Source organism: Homo sapiens, chromosome 14 (genome assembly GCF_000001405.40).
Source record: "Homo sapiens chromosome 14, GRCh38.p14 Primary Assembly".
Classification (NCBI taxonomy): domain Eukaryota; kingdom Metazoa; phylum Chordata; class Mammalia; order Primates; family Hominidae; genus Homo; species Homo sapiens.
The window spans coordinates 101,987,673-102,010,221 of record NC_000014.9 but is presented as its reverse complement, the minus strand read 5'-3'; the positions used below and the strand labels follow the sequence as shown (position 1 = coordinate 102,010,221).

The 22,549-nt window shown below is 46.0% G+C and overlaps 1 protein-coding gene across 1 annotated transcript in view, besides 3 other annotated features; it reads right to left on the bottom strand.

Moving 5' to 3' along the window:
* Positions 1–22,549, bottom strand: part of DYNC1H1 (dynein cytoplasmic 1 heavy chain 1) — a 91,871-nt gene that overhangs the window by 46,222 nt on the left and 23,100 nt on the right. Inside the window, exons 10-30 of the mRNA NM_001376.5 lie at positions 21,370–21,519; positions 18,549–18,695; positions 15,898–16,038; positions 15,373–15,549; positions 15,126–15,236; positions 14,922–15,041; positions 12,948–13,187; positions 10,078–10,233; positions 9,823–9,936; positions 9,158–9,268; positions 8,868–9,077; positions 8,541–8,687; positions 7,519–7,685; positions 7,257–7,430; positions 5,539–5,704; positions 5,272–5,460; positions 4,986–5,180; positions 4,052–4,334; positions 3,114–3,214; positions 1,885–2,044; positions 136–379 (exon numbers count right to left, since the gene is read on the bottom strand). Coding sequence (NP_001367.2) covers positions 136–379; positions 1,885–2,044; positions 3,114–3,214; positions 4,052–4,334; positions 4,986–5,180; positions 5,272–5,460; positions 5,539–5,704; positions 7,257–7,430; positions 7,519–7,685; positions 8,541–8,687; positions 8,868–9,077; positions 9,158–9,268; positions 9,823–9,936; positions 10,078–10,233; positions 12,948–13,187; positions 14,922–15,041; positions 15,126–15,236; positions 15,373–15,549; positions 15,898–16,038; positions 18,549–18,695; positions 21,370–21,519 — 3,503 coding nt within the window. The remainder of the gene's footprint in view (positions 1–135; positions 380–1,884; positions 2,045–3,113; positions 3,215–4,051; positions 4,335–4,985; positions 5,181–5,271; positions 5,461–5,538; positions 5,705–7,256; positions 7,431–7,518; positions 7,686–8,540; positions 8,688–8,867; positions 9,078–9,157; positions 9,269–9,822; positions 9,937–10,077; positions 10,234–12,947; positions 13,188–14,921; positions 15,042–15,125; positions 15,237–15,372; positions 15,550–15,897; positions 16,039–18,548; positions 18,696–21,369; positions 21,520–22,549) is intronic.
* Positions 1,782–2,329: an enhancer, noted in NCBI's record as "NANOG hESC enhancer chr14:102474230-102474777 (GRCh37/hg19 assembly coordinates)". NCBI's record gives its function as "activates a minimal SCP1, AML or CMV promoter by ChIP-STARR-seq in naive H9 embryonic stem cells {active_cell/tissue: H9 hESC(naive)}" and the evidence as "EXISTENCE:reporter gene assay evidence [ECO:0000049][PMID:30033119]".
* Positions 17,099–17,238: an enhancer, noted in NCBI's record as "active region_9064". NCBI's record gives its function as "activates an Ori minimal core promoter by ATAC-STARR-seq in GM12878 lymphoblastoid cells {active_cell/tissue: GM12878}" and the evidence as "EXISTENCE:reporter gene assay evidence [ECO:0000049][PMID:35858748]".
* Positions 18,607–18,676: an enhancer, noted in NCBI's record as "active region_9063". NCBI's record gives its function as "activates an Ori minimal core promoter by ATAC-STARR-seq in GM12878 lymphoblastoid cells {active_cell/tissue: GM12878}" and the evidence as "EXISTENCE:reporter gene assay evidence [ECO:0000049][PMID:35858748]".

The window sequence follows — 22,549 nt, the reverse complement described above, 5'->3', positions numbered from 1 at the left end:
TAGGGTCAAGTGTCAAGAAACCAGAGATGGATATTTTGAAAGACGTACCATCATTACATATAAAAATTTTAAGGTTAAATGGACACATTTAACATATGCAAGAAACATGATTATGAAGAATTCTAGGCTACTTACTTAAAAAACGGGACGATTTTGTTGGCAAGCACTTCAGCAGTGCGGAAACCCTGTGAGTACAGCATGACCTGGGCGATTAACTGCCGGTCGGGCTTGGTCATGGCCAAGCTCCGGAACAGCTTCTTCAAGTTGTCAGGAAGGTTAGACCGGCCCGCGTAGCCAGGGTTCATGGTGATGAAGATGGCCATGTCCGGGCTCACCTTGACTTGTTTGTTCAGCAGCTCACAAGTAATGGGGGCAGAGGCTGAGAATGAGATGATAGCGTTAAGACTAGAAATGTTAAAAAAAAAAAACAAAATGCATTCTAAAATGTCTCTAAAACAACAGACAAAGCTCTCGTTCTCCCAGGGAGCTGAAGTAGACGCTTCCTCGGGGGCTGCTCTTTGGCCTTTCTTCGGGGACCACCAGCCACATTCTCCCAGCCCAGGTGGACCCATTCCCATGTACCTCATGTGCACGTGTCCCAGGTCAAGCCACCAGAGGCAGAGACCACTATTTTATTTGGGCAACACCACACCTGAGTGTCATGGAGAACTCGAGATAGAGATGCAGTCCAACAAATTGTGCAAAAAAAAAAAAAAGGAATAAATGCCGCGACACTGACTGGCTTACATCATGGGAATTACCTGCTCCTAGCATCATCAAAATAAAAAAAACCCAAACCTCCAAGCACCTCTGAGCCACTTTGGAACAAAGTGTATTCTCGCCTTAAGAGAATACTGATCACAAAGGCAAGTATTGCTTTCCTCCACACTCCTTTTGTTTTATTTAGGAGGTCTGGGGAATTCTCCATAAGGCAAGTTGTTATTATGCAATAAAAGGAAACATTAAAAGCTACGCTGTGCACATAAGACAGAATTTCACACTTACCCAATACCCAAATGTTTGCCTCCTTCAGCATCCCACCCTCCCTGACCCCACATGCTGGGACTTTGTGTTGAACTGGGAAGGGAAGTGGTCCCTGGGGCCTCTCCGACAGCTGCTCCTATCGTGATAAAGGGCTTGTTTCCAAAGACAGATGGCAGAACACTGGCCAGACAGGTGGCTGGGGAGGCTGGCTCTCTGACGATGTGAGAATGAAGAGGGGGCACCAAGGGCCCGCACCAGAGGACACGCTCATCCCGTGGCAAAGACCATGGAGGGAACACACAAGCTCTAAGGGAGCACGGGGGCATCTGGCTGGCTGAGGAAGGACTGCTCAGGTTTTTGGTTGTCCTAGGACATAGAAACCTCTATGCTGCTGCCCTAGAATGAGGACTAAAAGCTGTGATGCAATACAGTCCTGGGTTTCTTTTTTTGGGGGAACAGTTTTGCTCTGTTGCCTAGGCTGGAGTGCAGTGGCATGATCTCAGTTCACTACAACCTCTGCCTCCTGGGTTCAAGGGACTCTCCCTGCCTCAGCCTTCCGAATAGCTGGGATTATAGGCGTGCACCACCATGTCAGGCTAATTTTTATATTTTCAGTAGAGATGGGTTTCACCACGTTGGCCAGACTGGTCTTGAACTCCTGACCTCAAGTGATCTGTCCGCCTCAGCCTCCCAAAGTGCTGGGATTACACACGTGAGCCACTACGCCTGGCCTGGGTTTCTTACCTTCCGTCTTTAACCACAGCTCACTACACTGCCTGTAACAGTGAGCTCCTGTGAGCTAAATTCTTGCTTATTTCTAATCCAAGAGGTAGAAAATTAGTTCACTAGGGAATTTCCCTCTACATTCTCTAAGTAATTTTTGAAGAAGAGGTGTCTTACTCTTGTCGTAGTTGGGGTTGGAATGTTCACGCAGTGCTTCCTGTATGCACTGCACCTGCTGGGACACAGCCGAGAGCATCCGCTCCTCCAGGCGGTTGAACTCGTCAAAGCAGCCCCAGGCACCCACCTGGCAAAGGCCCACAAAGATCCGGCCCATTGCCTGGAAAGGAGAGGAAGAAAGGCGCTAAAACCACCTGCTGTGCCCTCAATTGTCTCCCCTCTCCCTTGCCACAAATCAGTATGTTGATGCCCTAACCCTAGTGGGTTTGTCTTTAGCGAAAGAGCGTGTAAGGACATAACTAAGGTTAAATGAGGCCATAAGGGTTGGGGCCGCTGATCCACAGGACTGGTGCCCTTCTAAGAAGAGGAGGAGGAACCAGAGCGCTCTCCCTGCATGTATCCCGAGGAAAGGCCTTGTGGCGACAAAATAGCCACGTGCAAGCCAGGAAGAGGGCCCTCACTGGGAACTGAACCCCGCTGGCACCTTGATCTTGGACTCCCCAGCCTCCAGAACTGTGAGGAAATACATTTCTATTGTTAAGCCACACAGCCTGTGCTGCTTGGATATGGTGGCCTGAGCAGACTACCATACCACCTGCCTCAGTGCTGGCTTCACGGGGCTCAAACCCTGACTCTGACAATCTGCTTGGCCTTGGGCAAGTCACATCTTTTTGAAATGCACATCTCCTCATCTGTGAAATGGGAATACTACTACCTACTCCCACGGTGGCTGTGAAGGATAAATTAGAGTCACGCCTCAGGTGAGGGGCTCAGTGCCTACACACAGCAGTTACTTCATGAACAACAGCCGTTATCATGACAGATGTAAAGTATAACACCTTCTTTCCTTCTGTGCCAAAAAAATCTCAATGACAAAGCTACTGTTTTTATTCTATCACTTTTTGTTGATTAAAGATAAACCTCTTCCATAATGTGCTTATTCCAAGACACAGGCACTAAAAATGTCGTCAAAAAACTGACATTTTAGAAAAATATTACACTAAAGATCTAACTTTGAAAACATGAAACTGAAGTCAACTTCAATGCATGTATGCTGGACACCTCAAACACTTCAAAATAACACCTATCCCTACTACAGGACTCAGGAGGCCATATAAACCACGCTGAGCTGTAAGACCAATGGCTTTGAGAGAGGTACGGAGCTTGATATTCCCCAAATGATCCCTGCAGGGCATTACATTTTAGGTGGATCCCATAAAGTGTCTCACCTGGAAATCAAAGGTTTCATCACAGTTGAAAACTAAAACAAACCGTCCAAGCTGATGGCCAAGAGCTTTGACAGACTCTGTTTTCCCAGTTCCAGCAGGTCCTGTTTAAAGAAAAGCAACAGAGTGCTTGAGTCCATTACCTAACTGAAAACATATCTTTAGCTTTAAAAGAACTACAAAAAGCAACTCATTTAAAAAATCCAAGTAGTGGCCAGGTAGGGTGGCTCATGCCTGTAATCCCAGCACTTCGGGAGGCCGAGGCAGGCAGATCACCTGAGGTCAGGAGTTCGAGACCAGCCTGGCTAACATGGTGAAACTCCATCTCTACTAAAAATACAAAAATTAGCCGGGCATGTTGGTGGGCGCCTGTAGTCCCAGCTACTTGGGAGACTGAGGCAGGAGATCGCTTGAACCCGGGAGGCAGAGGTTGCAATGAGCCAAGGTTGCACCACTGAACTCCAGCCTGGGAGACAGAGCAAGACTCCATCTCAAAAAAAAAAAAATCAAAGTAGTAATAAATGCAAACAAATTTAAGATTTTAGAATGTACACACCACATAATTAAGAAGTACATTCAGGCCGGGCGTGGTGACTCATGCCTGTAATCCCAGCACTTTGGGAGGCCAAGGTGAGGGGGTCACCAGGTCAGGAGTTCGAGACCAGCCTGGCCAACATGGTGAAACCCTGTCTCTATGAAAAATACAAAAATTAGCCTGGTGTGATGGCGTGTGCCTGTAATCCCAGCTACTCAGGAGGCTGAGGCAGGAGAATGGCTTGAACCCGGGAGGTGGAGCTTGCAGTGAGCCAAGATCGCACCACTGTGCTCCAGCCTGGGCGACAGACACTCCATCTCAAAAAGAAGTACATTCAAATCATTAGCTTTATCTTTAAACATTTTAATATATGATTCCATCTGTCCAGATCTGTGGAAGAACTTACCAAATGGGGAACCCCCCAGCCTGGCCTCCAAGGCTTGTGTCATTGTCAAATAGCAGCGGTCAGTGAGGGGGGTCTGGACCAGTTTGTCCTGAACACCCAGGTACTCAAAGCCATAGTTAAATTTGGCATTTGCCATTTGAATTGACAACTGCTGTAACACATCAGTTTGCTTAGGGTCAAAGTAAAATCGCATCTGGCTGAGCCATTCAAAAGATTTGGCGTTGTCAATCTTGCTTTTGATCAAGGACCTTGTAACATCTCTCTGGTGAACCAACTCTGTAATCTGAAGAAAGAGAGTCACTTTAAAAGTTCATCTACACTAAAGCAATACAGTGCATTCTCCGGGTTTGTGGACTGTTAAACTGAAATTGAGGTTCTAGGTCCAGTTACAATGGCTTTCAGTAAATGTTCCAAAAGGCAAATTCACTTTCAGAGATGAGAGAAATGTTACTCATGAGATGGTATTACACAGAACCCAGAGCTGCAGCAAAAACAAAGAAACAGAAACACCTGGCTTTAAATATTTTAAAATTCTGCAACCATTCTAAAACATCATGGAAGACTAGCTTTCTGACGTCTATCCTAGGAGTCTGCCACGTGCCGCCATGGGGCTCGCAGCAAGCACTGCCCGTGCCGTGCAGCTTAGCACTGCTGTGGCCACCTCTCTGGGGAGATGACAGGAAAGAGCAAGAGATCCTGACCAAGGTTGATCCCTTCCTCTCTACCGTGATGTCGCGTAACCCCTGCATGCCCCTGAGATTACCTTTCAACAGGGACAGGGAGCCAAATGCCCACCCTCAGAGGATATCCATACACCATCCACTGTTCTCCTTGATACTACCTGAAACCTTTTTCAAGCATGATTTCCATTTAACTGTGTGGTTGAGGGTGTAAGAGTCTAACTGGTAAGGAAGGAGTCAGGTGTGAGACTAACCAAGTGTTCTAGCTTCCGCCTTCGGAGTGGGGGCTGCTCCATGAGGACAGAGTCTGCTAACACATTGAGGGTGACCTCCACATTGCTCAGCACAGAGTGCAAGGGCGCGGCATCTCCACCTCCGCCCATGCTGCTCAGTGCGGTCTCCACGTTCTCAGACCAGGCTATCTGGGCTGACAAAACCACAAGCTGGGCCTGAAAGACACAGAAACAAGATCCCAAAGGATCATTTTAAAGATTGGTCTGCGTTTTCACCACGAGCCCACTCACTTCTACTATAGATTACCTGGTATTTATCAATCCAAGTGATGTAGGTATTTGGGTCAATTGAAGTTGCTTTACCAAAAATCTCAACTTCCGTAACAGACTCAGCAAGCAGTTTGGCCAGGGTGACTCTCATCTCCTTTTCTACCAATGTGAGCCACTCATTGATTTTGGGATGTTCAGTAATTGACACAGGAGTTTTAAACATAACCTGAAATAAATACAATTTTAAGAAATGAGGTATGCAAAAATGTGAGAGAAGTTTTAAAAGTTACGAACATAAATTTACCTCCTCTCCTTCCCGAGATGAAATACCCAAAACAACAGAGTTATCCTCGTTCAGGATGATGCTCGAAACTCCAGCAAACATCTTCTTGAAGTGTTTCTGTAATTTAGCGACATTCTTGCTGTTTCCAATGATTTCAAGCAAATCTTCATCACCCACAAAATAGAACCTAAAATTAAAATAACACTCAAGTTGCAAAAATATTATATACACATATAAGGTGAATCAAGGTAAGATTTCAAACTGCAGGAAGGGAAAGAACATGTGTCTGGTGGTGGCAATCTCCAGCCCAAATTCAGATCACATCAGAATTTCTTCTAGCCCTTGGCAAAAGATACACACTTACCTAACAAGATCTTGAAGAGGAATTCAATGAATGCAAAGAATTTCATGTCATTTGCCTTAGTAAGTTACTTTATTTATTTATTTATTTATTTATTTTTGAGACGGAGTCTTGCTCTGTCGCCCAGGCTGGAGTGCAGTGGCACGATCTCGGCTCACTGCAAGCTCCGCCTCCCGGGTTCACGCCATTCTCCTGCCTGAGCCTCCTAAGTAGCTGGGACTACAGGCGCCCACCACCACGCCCGGCTAATTTTTTTTTGTATTTTTAGTAGAGACGGGGTTTCACCATGTTAGCCAGGATGGTCTCGATCTCCTGACCTCGTGATCCGCCCGCCTCGGCCACCCAAAGTGCTGGGATTACAGGCGTGAGCCACCGCGCCGGGCCAGTAAGTTACTTTATTAACTCTTTTTTATTTTTTGAGATGGAGTCTTGCTCTGTCACCCCAGCTGGAGTGCAGCGGCGCAATCGTGGCTCACTGCAACCTCCGCCTCCCGGATTCAAGAGATTCTCTAGCCACAGCCTCCTGAGTACCTGGGATTATAGGCAGCTGCCATCATGCCTGGCTAATTTTTGTATTTTTGTAGAGACAGGGTTTCACCATGTTGTCCAGGCTGGTCCTAAACTGACCTCAGGTGATCTGCCCACCTTGGCCTCCCAAAGTGCTGGGATTACAGGCGTGAGCCACCACGCCCGGCCTATTAACTCATTTTTAAAAGAATCTGTCCAATTCAGCCTAAGCAAACTATTCAGAAAGGAAAAGATGCCACTTAGAAAACTGTCAGAGGCTGGGTGCAGTGGCTCATGCCTGTAATCCTAGCACTTAGGTGACTTAGGTGAGCGGCTCACCTAAGGTCAGAAGTTCTAGACAAGTCTGACCAACATGGCGAAAACCCATCTCTACTAAAAATATAAAAATTAGCCGGGTGTGGTGGTGGGCACCTGTAATCCCAGTTACTCAGGAGGCTGAGGAAAGAGAATCACTTGAACCTGGGAGGAGGAGGTTGCAGTGAGCCGAGATGGCACCACGTGCTCCAGCCTGGGCGACAGAGCAAGACTCCATCTCAAAAAAAAAAAAAAGAAAACTGCCAGAGATAAACACTGAAGAGATGTAATGCAAGCTGCCTTGGAGGGTAGATGATAGTTAAATTAAGGATTTAAGAAATCCAAGGTAGGACAATTTAAAAAATCCAAGGTAGGTACAATCAGTAATCACTGCATGACAGGGAAGGGAATGGTAATCATTATATGTATTATTGGCTAACAAAATCCTTGATGTCAAAACTAACAAACACAGGCCCAGAAGGGAAAGAAGATCACTGGAAAAATGCACAACTGAAATTCAACTTGACTCCAGGCCAAGTCAAAGCAAGGATCTTACCTGGGGAAAGATGACCGCTCTCTTTCCAGATATTCTCCCAATGCTTTCTGGATCTTTCCTAGCAGGTCTGCCAATCTTTCCAGAGACCTCTGTACTCCCTGGATGTTCAGAACATCCATAACAAGGGGAGACTTGGACACTTTTTTCATTAGAGCCAAAAACTCAGTGCTGATGCTACAAATGAAATTAAAACATGCGTCAGCCTTTGTGTAGAGTAGTCACTAGCCGCTGGCAAATTTGGCTCTCTGGCTGGAGGCCATACCTCTGAAACCGCTGGGTTTCCACTGGCAGCAGGTGCTTGATATCTGCACTGCCTGTGAAGATACCTTCCAGGTAGACCCACCGCCTCTGCACATCAATCCACACATCAAAGAGAGCCATGATCCTGTTCAGCTTATCTTCCCAGCTGAGAGCATCCTCTTCAAAAACCTGGTGGGCAGACAGGAGGGAGAGGTAAACTGCTGACCCTTCTACTCACAGATATGCCAAAACTCACTGAAAAAGCGCAGATCAGGATCTCATGAAGTAATCTGATTCACATTTTAAACAACAAGTAGACGGGTGTGGTGGCTCACGCCTGTAATCCCAGCATTTTGGGAGGCCGAGGCGGGTGGATCACTTGAAGTCAGAAGTTTGAGACCAGCCTGGCAAACATGGTGAAACCCTGTCTCAACCAAAAATACAAAAATTAGCCAGGCATGGTGGCAGGTAGCTGTAATCCCAGCTACTTGGGAGGCTGAGGCGGGAGAATCACTTCAACCCGGGAGGCAGAGGTTGCAGTGAGCCGAGATCGTGCCATTGCACTCCAGCCTGGGTGACAGAGCGAGACTCCATCTCAAAAAAAGAAAAAAAAAAAACAAAAAAGCAAGCAAACAAACAAAAAAACAAGTATTGACTGGCTGTGGTGACTCACGCCTGTAATCCCGGCACTTTAGGAGGCCAGTGCAGAAGGACTGCTTAAGCCCAGGAGTTCGAGACCAGCCTGGGCAATATAGTGAGATGCTGTCTCTACAAAAAATAAAAAGCTAGCCCAGCATGGTGGCATGTGCCTGTGGTCCCAGCTACCTGGAGGCTGAGGTGGGAAGATCACTTGAGCCCAGGAAGTCAAGGCTGCAGCAGTGAGCTGTGATGGTGCCACTGCACTCCAGCGTGGGAGACAGAGTGAGACCCTGTCTCAAAAAATACAATAAAAAACAGGTACCTAGTAACTGTCAGTGAAAAGGCATTACAGTGAAAGCGTGGGAGACCACTGGTGGGGAGGGAAAGCTTCCCCAGCAACAGCACCTTGTAATACGGAGAGAGCTTCATGGCCGAGACGCTGTTGATGTGTTCTTTGACCTTGTTGAAGAGGTCATCCCAGCCACGGATCAAGCGGCACTTGTTCTGATAATTAACCAAGTCTAGTTCATAAGTATTCCACACTTCTCTTATCTGAATTCAAACCAGAAAGATGCATGTTATCAATATGTGGGCATTCACTACCTGCACAAGGGACCCAGCATTATAAGAACCAAAAGGACCACAGATGACAAGGCTCCATTTTTACATAGCTCAGATCTATGTAACAGCCCGAAACACAACGTAAAGCAGCCGTTCAGTCCTATTACTCGCCTGCTTCAAAAATTCTTCCAAAGCCATCTCCCCTTGTGCCACAAGCAGTACATCCTTGACAATCGCTTCATTTTTCTGCAAGTCAACATCCCAGATTTGGCCAAGGGTTAGCTCAGAAACAACCCAATTAACGTGAAGCCTTTTCATGAGCTGTTTCCAATGGCGGTCTTTAAGTGCTTCGGATTTCAGTTCAATCACCAGCATATTTATCTGTGGAGAAAGTAAACAAAGTGATCTGTGCAGGTGCGTTTCTAATGGACACTCATCACCGTGCGATACTGGCCACCTACCTTCATGTAACCTTTCAGAAGCCTCTGAACAAACTCATAGGACGCATACTGTCGCAACCGGGCAGGGAAGCTTTTCAGCTGGTTCAGGAGGGCATCCAAATTTTGTCGAAGCTGTCGAGAGAAACATAAGATGCTATTTAGCTTGCCAACATTTCTTTAAATGGTGAAATATTTCTTTAAAAAATGGTTTCAGGCCAGGCGCGGTGGCTCATGCCTGTAATCCCAGCACTTTGGGAGGCCGGGCGAGCAGATCACTTGAGGTCGGGAGTTCGAGACCAGCCTGACCAATATGGAGAAACCCTGTCTCTACTAAAAATACAAAATTAGCCGGGCGTGGTGGCACATGCCTGTAATCCCAGCTACTAGGGAGGCTGAGGCAGGAGAATCGCTTGAACCCGGGAGGCGGAGGTTGCAGTGAGCCGAGATCATGCCATTGCACTCCAGCCTGGGCAACAAGAGCGAAACTCCGTCTCAAAAAAAAAAAAAAAAAAGGTTTCAAAATAAGTTTTACAGTATTTTGGACGAATAATGTAAATGACATGCAGGACATTAAATGACATCTTATGAACTCACAATACAAATACACAAACTTGGCTTGTCACGTTCCTAAATAAAGTCTGTAACTGTTAAAATAGACGTACACAAACACCGATTTCATGATATACCTTTCGAGGCTGTACTGAAACCCAGGGTTGCTCCTTCATCTGATCGATTTGCTCCCAAACCTTAGAAAGTTCTGACCAAACGCCTTTGAGGTCCTGTAATTCTTCTAAGGCCACCTGCGATTGAGAATAGTAAAGCAGTTGACTTTGGAAATAGAAATCACCCCAGAATCTGGCAGGGCCCTGAGGATGAACAAAGTCAATGGCAGAGTCCGGGTGGGGAGCGGGATTCTCCACCCACTCCCCAGTGGTTCATACCTGCACGCGCTCTTCACTGCCACTGAGAAGCCCAGTATCTGTCAATTCCAGCGCCTCCTTGGCCTTTGCACACTTCTCTCTGTCGTCCTTCAGCCTACCAAACTTCCCCTCATATATGGTGAGAGCCTGAAGTGCCTCTTCTGGGCGAAGGTTGCCCTGAAAGCAGTCAGAGCACAGAGAATTGGAGCACAATGTCTCAGGAGAGATGAGCATTTAGGCTTTAAAATGGTGCACAGAGCCTGCAGGGCTTCTGGACGTTTCGGATTCTTTGCACACATCTTCATAAGGAAACATTCAACAAGATGTCCACTTTGGATGTGTGTACAGTAGCGAATTTAATTTTTACATGAACATTTTACATAAATAAAATAGAATGGTGGAGCATCTCTTGATTTAGCCATTGTCTTATTCAGTACCCTGGAAGGCGGGAGAAGAGGCAGCACAGACTCGGCCTCAAGTGCACATCCCCAGTGATAGAAGAGGACAAACCTCCGGGGCCTGCCAGCCACAACTTCCCCAGAGAACACAGTTGTTACATCAGTTACCCAGCCAAGAGAGGAATGAGAAATCACCAGAAACAGACTCTACTTCAGCATTAACACTACCATTTGCATACTTCCTTTTCATTTTAATAACTGTTGAGAGGTGTACAAAATATTACTGTTTTCCACTAAGGCAAGATATCAAAAAACATTTTACTTAGGCTGGACGTGGTGGCTAACGCCTGTAATCCTAGCACTTTGGGAGGTGAAGGCGGGGAGACTGCTTGAGTTCAGGAGTTTGCGACCAGCCTGGGACTTCATCTCTACTAAAAATAAACAGTAAGCTAGGTATGGTGGGGCACGCCTGTAGTCCCAGCTACAACGCTTGATCCCAGGAAACGGAGGCTTCAGTGAGCTATGACCATGTCACTGCACTCCAGCCTGGGCGACACAGTGAGACTCTGCCTCAAAAAAAATTTTTGGCCAGGTGCGGTGGCTCACGCCTATAATCCCAGCACTTTGGGAGGCCAAGGTGGGCAGATCATGAGGTCAGGAGATTGAGACCATCCTGGCTAACACATTGAAACCCCGTCTCTACTAAAAAATACAAACAATTAGCCAGGCGTGGTGGCGGGAGCCTGTAGTCCCAGCTACTCGGGAGGCTGAGGCAGGAGAATGGCATGAAGCCAGGAGGCAGAGCTTGCAGTGAGCGGAGATTGCGCCACTGCACTCCAGCCTGGGAGACAGAGCAAGACTCCGTCTCAAAAAAAAAAAAAAAAAAAAGAAAAAGTTTTAACTCTAACACATTACTGGCACCAAGGTAAAGTGATGAGAAATATTCAAATTTTGATGACCAGAATCTTGCTATTGATTAATATTCAACTCCTCCACTGGAGCAAGCACTCATAACCTAGCAGTAACAGCAGCACTGGCAAAAGCAGAGACCATCAAATCAAAATTAAGCACACAGTAGAACCTGCAGGGGCCCAGCAGCACGGAAACGGTTACAGGCAGGATGGGACAATTAACCAGCAGATCTTTGTGGAAGGCTAAATCTGTCATTGTCATTAGGCCTACTGTGGGAAACTTACATCCCCAAATGAGAAAAACAGATTAATATTCAAAATATGTTCACATCTTTTCCATTTGTCTTTTCTATGCTTATATTCCCTAAATAAATAAAAATTTGAAAATTAAAAAGAAAACAAACCAATCGCCTGGGACCCACCATAACCCAATTGGATCAGCATTTATAAAGGGGAGAGGGGTCCAGGCGTTTGTATTATCAGATCAGCGTTTATAGAGGGGAGAGGGGTCCAGGCGTTTGTATTATCGGATCAGCTCTTATAGAGGGGAGAGGGGTCCAGGCGTTTGTGTTATCGGATCAGCGTTTATAGAGGGGAGAGGGGTCCAGGCGTTTGTATTATCGGATCAGCGCCTATAGAGGGGAGAGGGGTCCAGGCGTTTGTGTTATCGGATCAGCGTTTATAGAGGGGAGAGGGGTCCAGGCATTTGTATTTATATGCTCTCCAGATAATTTCATGCACTCTTAGAAAATAACAAATAAAAATAACAAAGGGAGCAAAAAATAAAATAAATAAAATTTTGAATTCCACTTCCAGTAACCACACACACTGTTATCTACATCACCTCTGCTATCAGCATGAGTTGCCAGCCCCCTTCCACACCACCCTCCCAGGCACAGCAGTAGCCACTGAGCCAGCGCCCTCTCATCTGCTTCTGTCGCAGCAGCACCACCACCTGCCTTTCCTGTCTCTTCTTGCTCATTTTTTTTCTCTCTCCCACGGAGCGTGATTCCATGAAGGTAGGAGGCTCTTGTCCTTTTCACTCACTGCTATATCTCAATGACCTAGAACAAGGCCTGGAACACAGTCGGTGCTCAATAAATACTTCAATGCATGAAGAAAAGTGGATGTGGCAGTTTCTGGGTGGTGGAAGGTTTAAATGGCTACAATGACGAAGACAACAGAACCTGCCTCCCCACAATCCACTGGCAGCACTGGCAAAAACAGAGACCATCCAACCAAAATTAAATTAACTAGCAGCAGCAGTGGAAAGCTTGGCCTTTGTCTACAGGAAATTAAACTCTAATTTCTGCGCATATCTACGTAAGAGAATGATCTAAGAACAGAAAAACTTTAATCCTTAAAACCAGCTACTGAATGCCATTCTGAGTAAAAAGAGGTCTAAGCTGGGCTTCATATTTTCACATTTGCTATCTCCATCTGCTTTTTTAACTACAAAAAGGAAAAGAGTCTTCAATACTAGAAAGCTCAGTCACAGCAAGGCCTTTTAGGCTTGAAAGAAAGTCACCAAATCACACTGCTGGGTGAGGAGTCTCCTGCGTCCCCACCTGGCGGGACTCACCGTGACAGGCTTGGTCTTCTCCCAGTCAGTCAGCAGGTCGGTGGTGCGGCTTTCCACGGCCCGATCCTCCTGGACAATCTTCATTTGCAGGTTTGCCACCTGCTGCTGAATGGCAGAGTCCTTTCGCCGCATGATGTCATTGAAGGCTCCCCACTCTCCCTCGATGTTGTCAATATAAAGCCAGGAAGGTGGGAACTGGAACCTTTGCTTTTCCAGTAAGCGCTGGCCATTGCGGTAGAGCTTTGAGAGTTAAAAAATAAATCAAGTTTTTTCTTCTATAACAATGATAGAAATTATTAATTAGAGCCCCATGAAAGAGAAGGCACTTTATAGTTATAAAACACGTAAGACTGGCCAGACACAGTGGTTCTTGCCTGTAATCCCAGCACTTTGGGAGGCTGAGGCAGGTGGATTACTTGAGTCCAGGAGTTTAAGACCAGCCTGGGCAACATGGCAGGACTTCATCTCTACTTAAAAAGAAAAAAATTAGCCAGGCATGGTGGCATGTATCTGTAGTCCCAGCTACTCAAGAGACTGAGGTGGGAGGATTGTTTGAGCCCGGGAGATTGAGGCTGCAGTGAGCTAGGATCCTGCCACTGCACTCCAGCCTGGGTGACAGGTGAGATGCTGCCTCAAACAAAACAAAACACAGAAGATCAACACATGTGCTCTTCTCCTAAAACCATCCATCCTAAGACATCGTGGCCAGAGGGCAACATCCTCTGAGAGCCCACCGCAGCTGGTCTGGGTGTTGCACTGCACTGCATCCGGATGGCCCCGGACAGGATACAAAGCAAGGTGGAGCTGGGCTTCACCCTTTATTCCAAGTTATTAAAAGGATACTTGGCCGGGCATGGTGGCTCATGCCTGTAATCCCAGCACTTTGGGAGGTCAAGGCGGGCAGATCACTTGAGGCCAGGAGTTCGAGACCACCCTGGCCAACAAGGAGAAACCCCGTCTCTGCTAAAAATACAAAAATTAGCCGGGCATGGTGGTGGGCGCCTGTAATTCCAGCTACTCGGGAGGCTGAGGCAGGAGAATCGCTTGAACCTAGGAGGCAGAGGCTGCAGTGAGCCGAGATCACACCACTGTACCCCAACCTGGGTGACAGAGCGAGACTCCATCTCAAAAAAAAAAAAGAAAAGAAAAGAAAAGAAAAACCTAGATGCCCAGTATCTGCACTGAGTTTTTCATTATTTATTTAGTTTTTTGAGATAGAGTCTTGCTCTGTCACCCAGGCTGGAGTGCAGTGGCACAATCTCAGCTCACTGCAACCTCCGCCTCCCAGCTTCAAGCGATTCTCCTGCCTCAGCCTCCCGAGTAGCTGGGACTACAGGCACATGCCACCACACTCAGGTAATTTTTTGTATATTTTTTGTAGAGATGGGGTTTCACTATGTTGGCCAGGCTGGTCTCAAACTCCTGACTTCAGGTGATCTGCCCACCTTGGCCTCCCAAAGTTCTGGGATTACAGGCATGAGCCACCGTGCCTGGCCTACACTAAGTTTTAACAAGCACATCAGGCTGTTGTAACAGAGATGATCTGTGGGCCATACTAAGAAAAGAGTGCCTTAAGGGTTGAGTCAGGTCATTCTCTTAGAATGCAAAATACTATAGAAGCCAAATTAAACTAGAGATCTAGTGTAATTTTTTTTTTTTTTTTTGAGACGGAGTCTCACTCTGTTGCCCAGGCTGGAATGCAGTGGCACAATTTCGGCTCACTGCAAGCTCTGCCTCCCGGGTTCATGCCATTCTCCTGCCTCAGCCTCCTGAGTAGCTGGGACCACAGGTACCCGCCACCACACCCGGCTAATTTTTTGTATTTTTAGTAGAGACAGCATTTCACCGTGTTAGCCAGGATGGTCTCGATCTCCTGACCTCGTGATCCGCCCGCCTCGGCCTCCCAAAGTGCTGGGATTACAGGCGTGAGCCACCACGCCCAGCCAAAAATTTTTAAATATGCACAGAGCTCACCTCAACTTGCTTCTCAAACTGCTTGATCTTCCGTTTCAAAGACTGCACATAGGTGATGAAGGTCACTGCATCGGAGGTGCTGGCCGTGTCTACTGAGTGCTGCTCCAACTCTTGGCGGGACTGTTCAGAGAGAGGGGAGTATTTCATCACAGAGCTGGGGTTCACCAGTAGACCGGTTACAGAGGCAGAATCCTATGTCCTCACCTTTGAGATCTGGGAATGGAATTCCGTCATGTTTGATCCTAGCATCTGCCCAAATTTGCTAAGAACCTCCTTATGCCAAGAGTCATATTTCAAGTTCACCTTAGATTGTACCTGAGGGTGAAATAGCACACAACACATCATCAGCTCTTTCCTGCTGGCGTGTTTATCCTTCAAATGAATATCAGTCTAACAGAAATGTTGCTTTTACACTACCCGTGACACCTTTCAACCAGACAGCAGGGCTCACCTTGCCATAATCTATAACTACTGGTCCAAACTCTTTCTTGGTTTCTGCATTGTCAAAGGTTCCTCTGGCCTTCCTTATTTGGACCAGGAGAGCCTGCCATTTGTTGAGATCTTCTCCAAGTCTGTTATAGATGTTTTCAGCTTGCATATCCCATAAACACTGATACTGAAGCCAAACCTGCAAATGAAGAACACAGTTAAATAATAGTTTGAGTTTTCATTTTGTAGAATACTGGCACCTCTTATGTTCACATTCCATTAAGAAGGTTCATGTCTTTCACCACTATTAGAGAAATTCTCACTTCAGACTCTCAGAATTTTCATATCAAAAAAGATTCTTGAACGTCATGGTTAAAACTCAAAAAGATGTATCCTATCATTTACTCTCTGCTTTGAAACAGCAAATAGTATCTAGTGAACCATACATACAGTCAAGACCTTTTAGCTCCATGTTCTTTATATCTTGTACTCTTAAGTGTCTAGAATAGACCATATGCACATTTGAATGAAATTAGGAGTTTCTTACCTTGACATACTGTTCAACTTCAGATACAATGCCCATGACAGCAGAATACGACTCTTCCAGGGCAACAGGGCCATCAGGCATCCGTGTTAAAGCATTCCGATAGAATTTCTCTTCCTCAGTCAATTCGTAATGTACACCCACCTAGCCAACCAAAGCCGAAATGAATGCAAGCAGTGTATATGAAAATGGTAATCTAAGTGTCACCTTTTACTTAATTAAAATGAACTGAAAGAAAAGCTCATGACCAAAATGGCATTTAAGGGATAACATCCACTTACCCTGGCCACAAGTAACCAGAAAGCCTACTTATATTTAACTCATCAAACCAATACAAGAACATTAATGACAACAGAGAAATTTGGCAATGCAAAAACAGCTGAAAAGTGCACGAAGCCATTTGCTCATTTTAACTATCTGAGTGCCTGTTATGTGCCAGGCACTGTTCTAGGTACAACAAGCAGATAAAAATCCCTGCTCACAGGGACTTACACTCTATGGGAGGAGAGACGCGATTAGGGAATAAGCAAAACACACAGAATGTCAGGTGGTGAGAGAGAACTACGGAGCAAGAGTGAGAAGGAGAGGGAGTGTGGGCACAGCATGGGGAAGGCTGCATTTTCAGTAATGACGTCAGGAAAGGCCTTGCTGAGAAGGGGAGAATTGCGAGAAACCAGGAGGAGAGGGGTAAGTTGTGATTATTTGCCATCAAGGATTCTGAGTTGAGATCAACAAATGTGAAGGCGCAGGGGCAAGAGTCTACCGGCATGTTTGAGGACCAGCAAGACTCCAGTGTGATGGGGCAGAGCCAGTGAAGGGAGAAGCAGCAGGAGCTGAAGTCAGAGAAATAATAAGCAACACATTACACGGGCCCAGCAAGCCACTGGGGCTTTGACTTTCATGATGAGTGAGATAGGAAGTCATTCAAGGGCTCCGAAAAGAGTGTCAGGATTGACTTAGAATCTAAAACTTGCTTTGGCTGCTGTGTTGAAAACAGATTTTAGGGAGGCAAAGGCAGAGAGAACAGATAGGAGGGAATATTAATAATCCAAGTGAGAGGTGATGGTACCTTGTACGGAGTGGTGCCAGTGAAACAGCTCAGCATTCATTTTCAAGAGACACACAATGGGAATCAAGGACAATACCATGATTTTTGGCCTGAATGAGCTGAAGGATGAGAAGTGAAAGACTGAGGGAAGATCAAACTTGGGGAGGCAGGGCTCAAGAGGTGCTCAGTGTGACGCGACTCCGAGATAGCCAAGTGGAGATGCCATGCTAGTAGCTGCCCAGACAAGCCTGGAGTAGGGAGAAAGGTCAGCTGGAGATACGAACACAGAGCTGTCAGCCTGCAGGTGGCATTTAAAGTCAACAAGACTAGATGAGACCACAATGAGAGTGCACAGGAGTGGAGAGGGAACAGAACATTTAGAGGGAGTTTAAGGGGAAGGCAAAAGAGGAACCGAGAAAGGAGACCAGCCACTGAGGTGGGAGGAGAACCAGGAGGCACGGTGTTCTGAAGAGTCCAGAGCATCACGCAGGAGGGAGCCTCCATCAAGTCTTGCAGTTAAGAGGTGAGACAAGGACAGAGAAGCCCCCTAGTCAGCAGGGTGGGGCTATGGGCGATCACACAGAGCAGTGCTGGAGGAGGCTGGATGAGTGCCTGAGAAGGGAGCTTCCTTATGAAGATTGCAGGGGACATGGGGTCCCGTTTAGGTGCTGAAAGAAGACCCAGAAGAGAGGGCAGAACAGCTAAACGAGAGTGAGGGGATGGGCTCTAGGGAAAAAGGAGACTGCTGGCTTTAGTTTGTTAAATTTGGAGATAAGCAAGAGAACAATGCAAATAGAAACACGGCTGGTTAAAAACAGGAGTAACATGATGAGAATGATGCTAAGGATTGTACGTAGACTCCTTGAAGGGCAGAAGCCAATATCCATAGCTTGGTTCTGATTAGCTGGACAGTGCCCAGCATTAGGTGAAACATCACCACGATTTTAGCCATAGGCAATTAACTACCTCAAAAAAAATCCTTAAAGATCTGAGTTTATATTCAAAGTTAAGAAAACGGTTAATGTCTTATCACTAAATTCTGGAAGAGTCTGCAATAGCAGAAGTTGTGCCATCTTTTTTTATGAAGCCACTGGTTCTGTTCAGAAGTGACACTGGGGACTAAATGGTCTTTTGAGATTTCCTTTTGTTCTAAAAATATACTAAGAGTATATTATATCTGAGATTTGCTTCAAGATAATCTGGTGGGGGTGGAGAGGTAGGAAAGAAAATATAAATAACATTGTCCACATATTGATAAAGCTGTGTGGTGGGGGGCTCTTGATTCCCTCAACTTTTGTGTATGTTTTAAAATTCCCCTAATAAAAAGTGGGGGGTGGGGAGGAGAGGGAGAAGCAGGAATTGAGATTCCCAAAGATGCTCATGGACAGGAGTTCGAAGAAACTACTGAGACCAAGCTACAAATGCCAAGTAACTAGTTGGAAAAAAAGGTCAGGGCACAAAAAGCCTCCCTAACTTTCCCCTGGGATGTCTGGAGTTTGTAAACAACATCAAGAGCTTATCTAAAGAAGCACCATGAAGAAGTGGTATCACAGAGCCCATGAGAGTCCTGGTCAGAGGCGTGTGCCTCGAGTCACCAAAGGCTTACCTGGTACCTCTGACTCTGGATCCTGGGGAGAGACAGTACAACCATCTTCCAGGCAAACATTTCCTGATACAGCTTGTATCTGCACTCTTCAATTGGTGGATTCAAGTAGATTACCTGATTGGTTATTCTTAGCTCATGAACGACATTCTGTGAAAGAAAGGTTTCATTTCTACTCAGCAATCTATTTTTCAATAAAAAAAATTTTTTTAAGACAGAGTTTCACTCTTACTGCCCAGGCTGCAGTGTAATGGCACAACCTTGGCTCACTGTAACCTCCGCCTCCCGGGTTCAAGCAATTCTAAGCCTCCCAAGTAGCTGGGATTACGGGCATGCGCCAGCAAGCCCAGCTAATTATATATTTTTAGTAGAGACGGGTTTCAGCATGTTGGTCAGGTTGGTCTCAAACTCCTGACCTCAGGTGATCCACCCGCTTCAGCCTCCCAAAGTGCTGGGATTACAGGTGTGAGCCACCATGCCAAGTCCTTTGCTTTTTGTTTTTTTGAGATAGGGTCTCACTCTGTCACCCAGGCTGGAGTGCGATGGCGACATGGCTCACTTGACATTCTGGGCTCAGGCAATCCTCCCGCCTCAGCCCCTCAAGTAGCCGGGACCACAGGCGTGCACCATCATGCCCAGTTAATTTTTGTATTTTTTTTTTTTTTTTTTGAGACGGAGTCTCACTCTGTCGCCAGGCTGGAGTGCAGTGATGCCATCTCCGCTCACTGCAATCTCCACCTCCCGAGTTCAAGCGATTCTCCTGTCTCAGCCTCCCGAGTAGCTGGGACTACAGGCATGTATCACCACGCCCAGCTAATTTTTGTATTTTTAGTAGAGATGGGGTTTCACCATGTTGGACAGGATGGTCTCTATCTCTTGACCTCGTGATCTGCCTGCCTCGGCCTCTCAAAGTGCTGGGATTACAGGCATGAGCCACCGCGCCCGGCCTAATTTTTGTACTTTTTATAGAGATGGGGTTTCGTCATGTTGCCCAGGCTGGTCTCAAACTTCAGAGCTCAAGCGATCTGCCCACCTTGGCCTCCCAAAGTGCTGGGATTACAGGGGTAAGCCACTGCGTCTGGCCTCAATAAAATAGTTTTGATACTCAACACTTTCTCTCTCTAAATTACTAAACTACTTCAGTCTGAACTACAATGTCTGTCACTTGATTATCAGACATGGTCTTGTATAATGTCATGTTTGTCATTTGTGCCTTCCCCAAAAGAACATAAGTCAGACAGCAGGTGCTGCTTCACCTTCTCCTGGGTCCCTGGTGCCCAGGGATTGAACACACAACAGGTACTCAATGAACTTTCATCTGGTTTGGCCTAAGTATATGACGATGTCTCAATATAACGACCTTGAGACCCGAGAAACTAGCACCACTGAAGCAGTGATACCACTCAGGTTATCAGTTGTCAGGCAATGATTTAGGTTGACCAAGGTCAGGTAAGTCTGTGCCACCTGCCAGTGCTTTACACTCAACAAGAATTCCAACTTCGTCTCCACTAGATAGTCATGTGTTGCTTAACAACAGGGATACGTTCTGAGAATCACGGTGAGGCGATTCTATCACTGTGCAAACTCCACAGCATGTACCTACACAAGTCTAGATGACAGCCCGCTGCCCACCTAGGCTATGTGGCATGGCCGATTGCTCCCAGGCTACAAATCTGTACAGCATGTTACTGTACTGAATACTGTAGGCAACTGGAACACAATGGTAAGTATTTGTGTATTTAAACATATGTCGGCATAGAAAAGGTACAGTAAAAATATGGTATTGTAATCGTCGGGACCACAATTGTATATGTGGTCTTGTCGTTGACTGAAATGTCATTTTGCAGTGCATGACTGTAATTGTATCAATTTAGAAACACTCATTTGCTTCTCTGGGACTTGGTATTTTAAAAAGTATGCTCTGGGGATGAATATCCAATAATAGTAATATTCAAAGGTGGAAACAGAAATATTCAACAGTGAAAACATTTTTCAAGTGTAAGGGAAAAAAATAAAAAGGTAAAGTGTAGGTAGGGGAAAAAAGCCAACTGTTTCTCCCAGATCAAGGTTTTTACTGTTTTGTGAGTCCTTTTTATTGGTAAATATAACACAAATACTATAAACACTTACTGTAAGGTGGATTCCTTTGTAACCACCACCAATAGCAGCAGATAGGGCCTACTTACACAGTGCTAGTTGACAGAATTATTCAGTTGTTTAGAAAGCTTGCTAAGCTCCACACAAATGCGAAAGAGATGGCTCGGGAGGCACAGACTACTACTCCGTGTGGTGGCCACTGTGTTGCCACCTTCTTCCCGGGGATGTGAACTGAGACCTTTGTTAAAACAGTGGAGTACGTTTCAATGTCATGGTCTGAACACTGACTTCTGGTGGATTACATGCAGTTCTTGAAATAATTTATTGCATGAATGGTAAGAAGTTTTTTTCCAGTGTAGTTTTTTTCCTAAAATTTAATTTTTCATTTTTTAGGACTTAAAATAATTATTTTAGATTTACAGGAGAGTTTCAAAGGAAGTACAAGGAGTTTCCACATATCCTCCACCAGCTTTCTCCAATGTTAACATCTCACATGAGAGTGAGGGATTTTGGAGAAAGAGCGCAGAGGTGACCTGCCCTTCCCATCGCATCACATCAGAGGGCACATGACACCTGCACATCGCCACTGGTGAGGCTGACCTTCATCACCTGGTTAAGGTGGCATCTGCCAGGTGTCCACACTAAGTGACCTTTCCATAGGTGTTTTTTAACGAGAGAGTTTTGTTATTTCACTTATTAGTAAATAGAATGCCACAGAAGCACTCACTTTGATCTTTGGCTCTCCACCAGGCTTGTGACTAACTTGTGGAGCATCTGTGTCCATGTCAACTTCTGCTTTATCTTCAGCTTGTCCAAGAAGAACCTGCGTCCAAGCTCTCAGGCCAGCTTGCAGACGGACGCCCAATATTCTTTCAATCTACAGACAACGTTATATCAGAGAACAGTGTTTCTTCTAAAAGTTAGCTCACAAAGCAAGTCAATCAGAAAGTGGTAGGTGTTTCAGATAAAAGATACACAGTTCCGGACTAGAAGCCTTCATATCTCTCTTCTCAGAATCTCACTTTCTCACTTTCTCCCAGCCACAGATCACTTGTTAGGCTGTCTTCTCCATCTTTGGATACTGAATCACCAATCCTTCACAACCTGTAACCTCTGCTATAAAATATCCTCCTCCCCAACACTCTCCACTGGTGTGCTCTCTGAAGTCCACCAGTGGGAAAAGGCGTGGATTGGTAAGTGTGCTTTATGCACACATACCACACCTTCTACCCATCCCCACTTGTCTACGGGGATACGGGTGGGGGCAGAATGTGGCTGTTTCTAAATTGGGTGTTGGGGAGTGGCAGGGTCATCAGAGGAGGACACCTGGAGGGCTAGAAAAGGTAACACGAATCATAAGGAAAGCAAGGAAGGACAAATAGGAAGTTATCAAATATCCAGCAAATAAAGGCAACACTTTCTCCTCCCTCTTATCTCCCTGCTTCCAACTTAAACTTGATGTGAGTACTGACATGTAGTATCATAATTTGGTTCTTTTTGTGTGTGTGTGTGTGACAGGGTCTCACTCTGCTAGAGTGCAGTGGTGCGATGTTGGCTCATTGCAACCTCCGCCTCCTGGGCTCAAGTGATCCTCCCGCCTCAGTTTCCTGAGTAGCTGGGACTACAGGTGCTCATCAGCACACCTGGCTAGTTTTTGTATTTATAGTAGAGACAGGGTCTTGCCATGTTGCCCAGGCTGGTCTCAAACTTCTGGGCTCAAGCGATCTGCCTGCCTCGGCCTCTCAAAATGCTGGGATTACAGGCATGATGAGCCACTGTGCCTGGCCACAATTCAGTTCTATCACTAGTTAAATGAGATTTTGGAGGGGAATTGAACTATCACAGATAATTTCCAAGGAAAAATGCTTTTTAGTGACAAACTAATAAGCTTACTGGAGGGTCAGCAG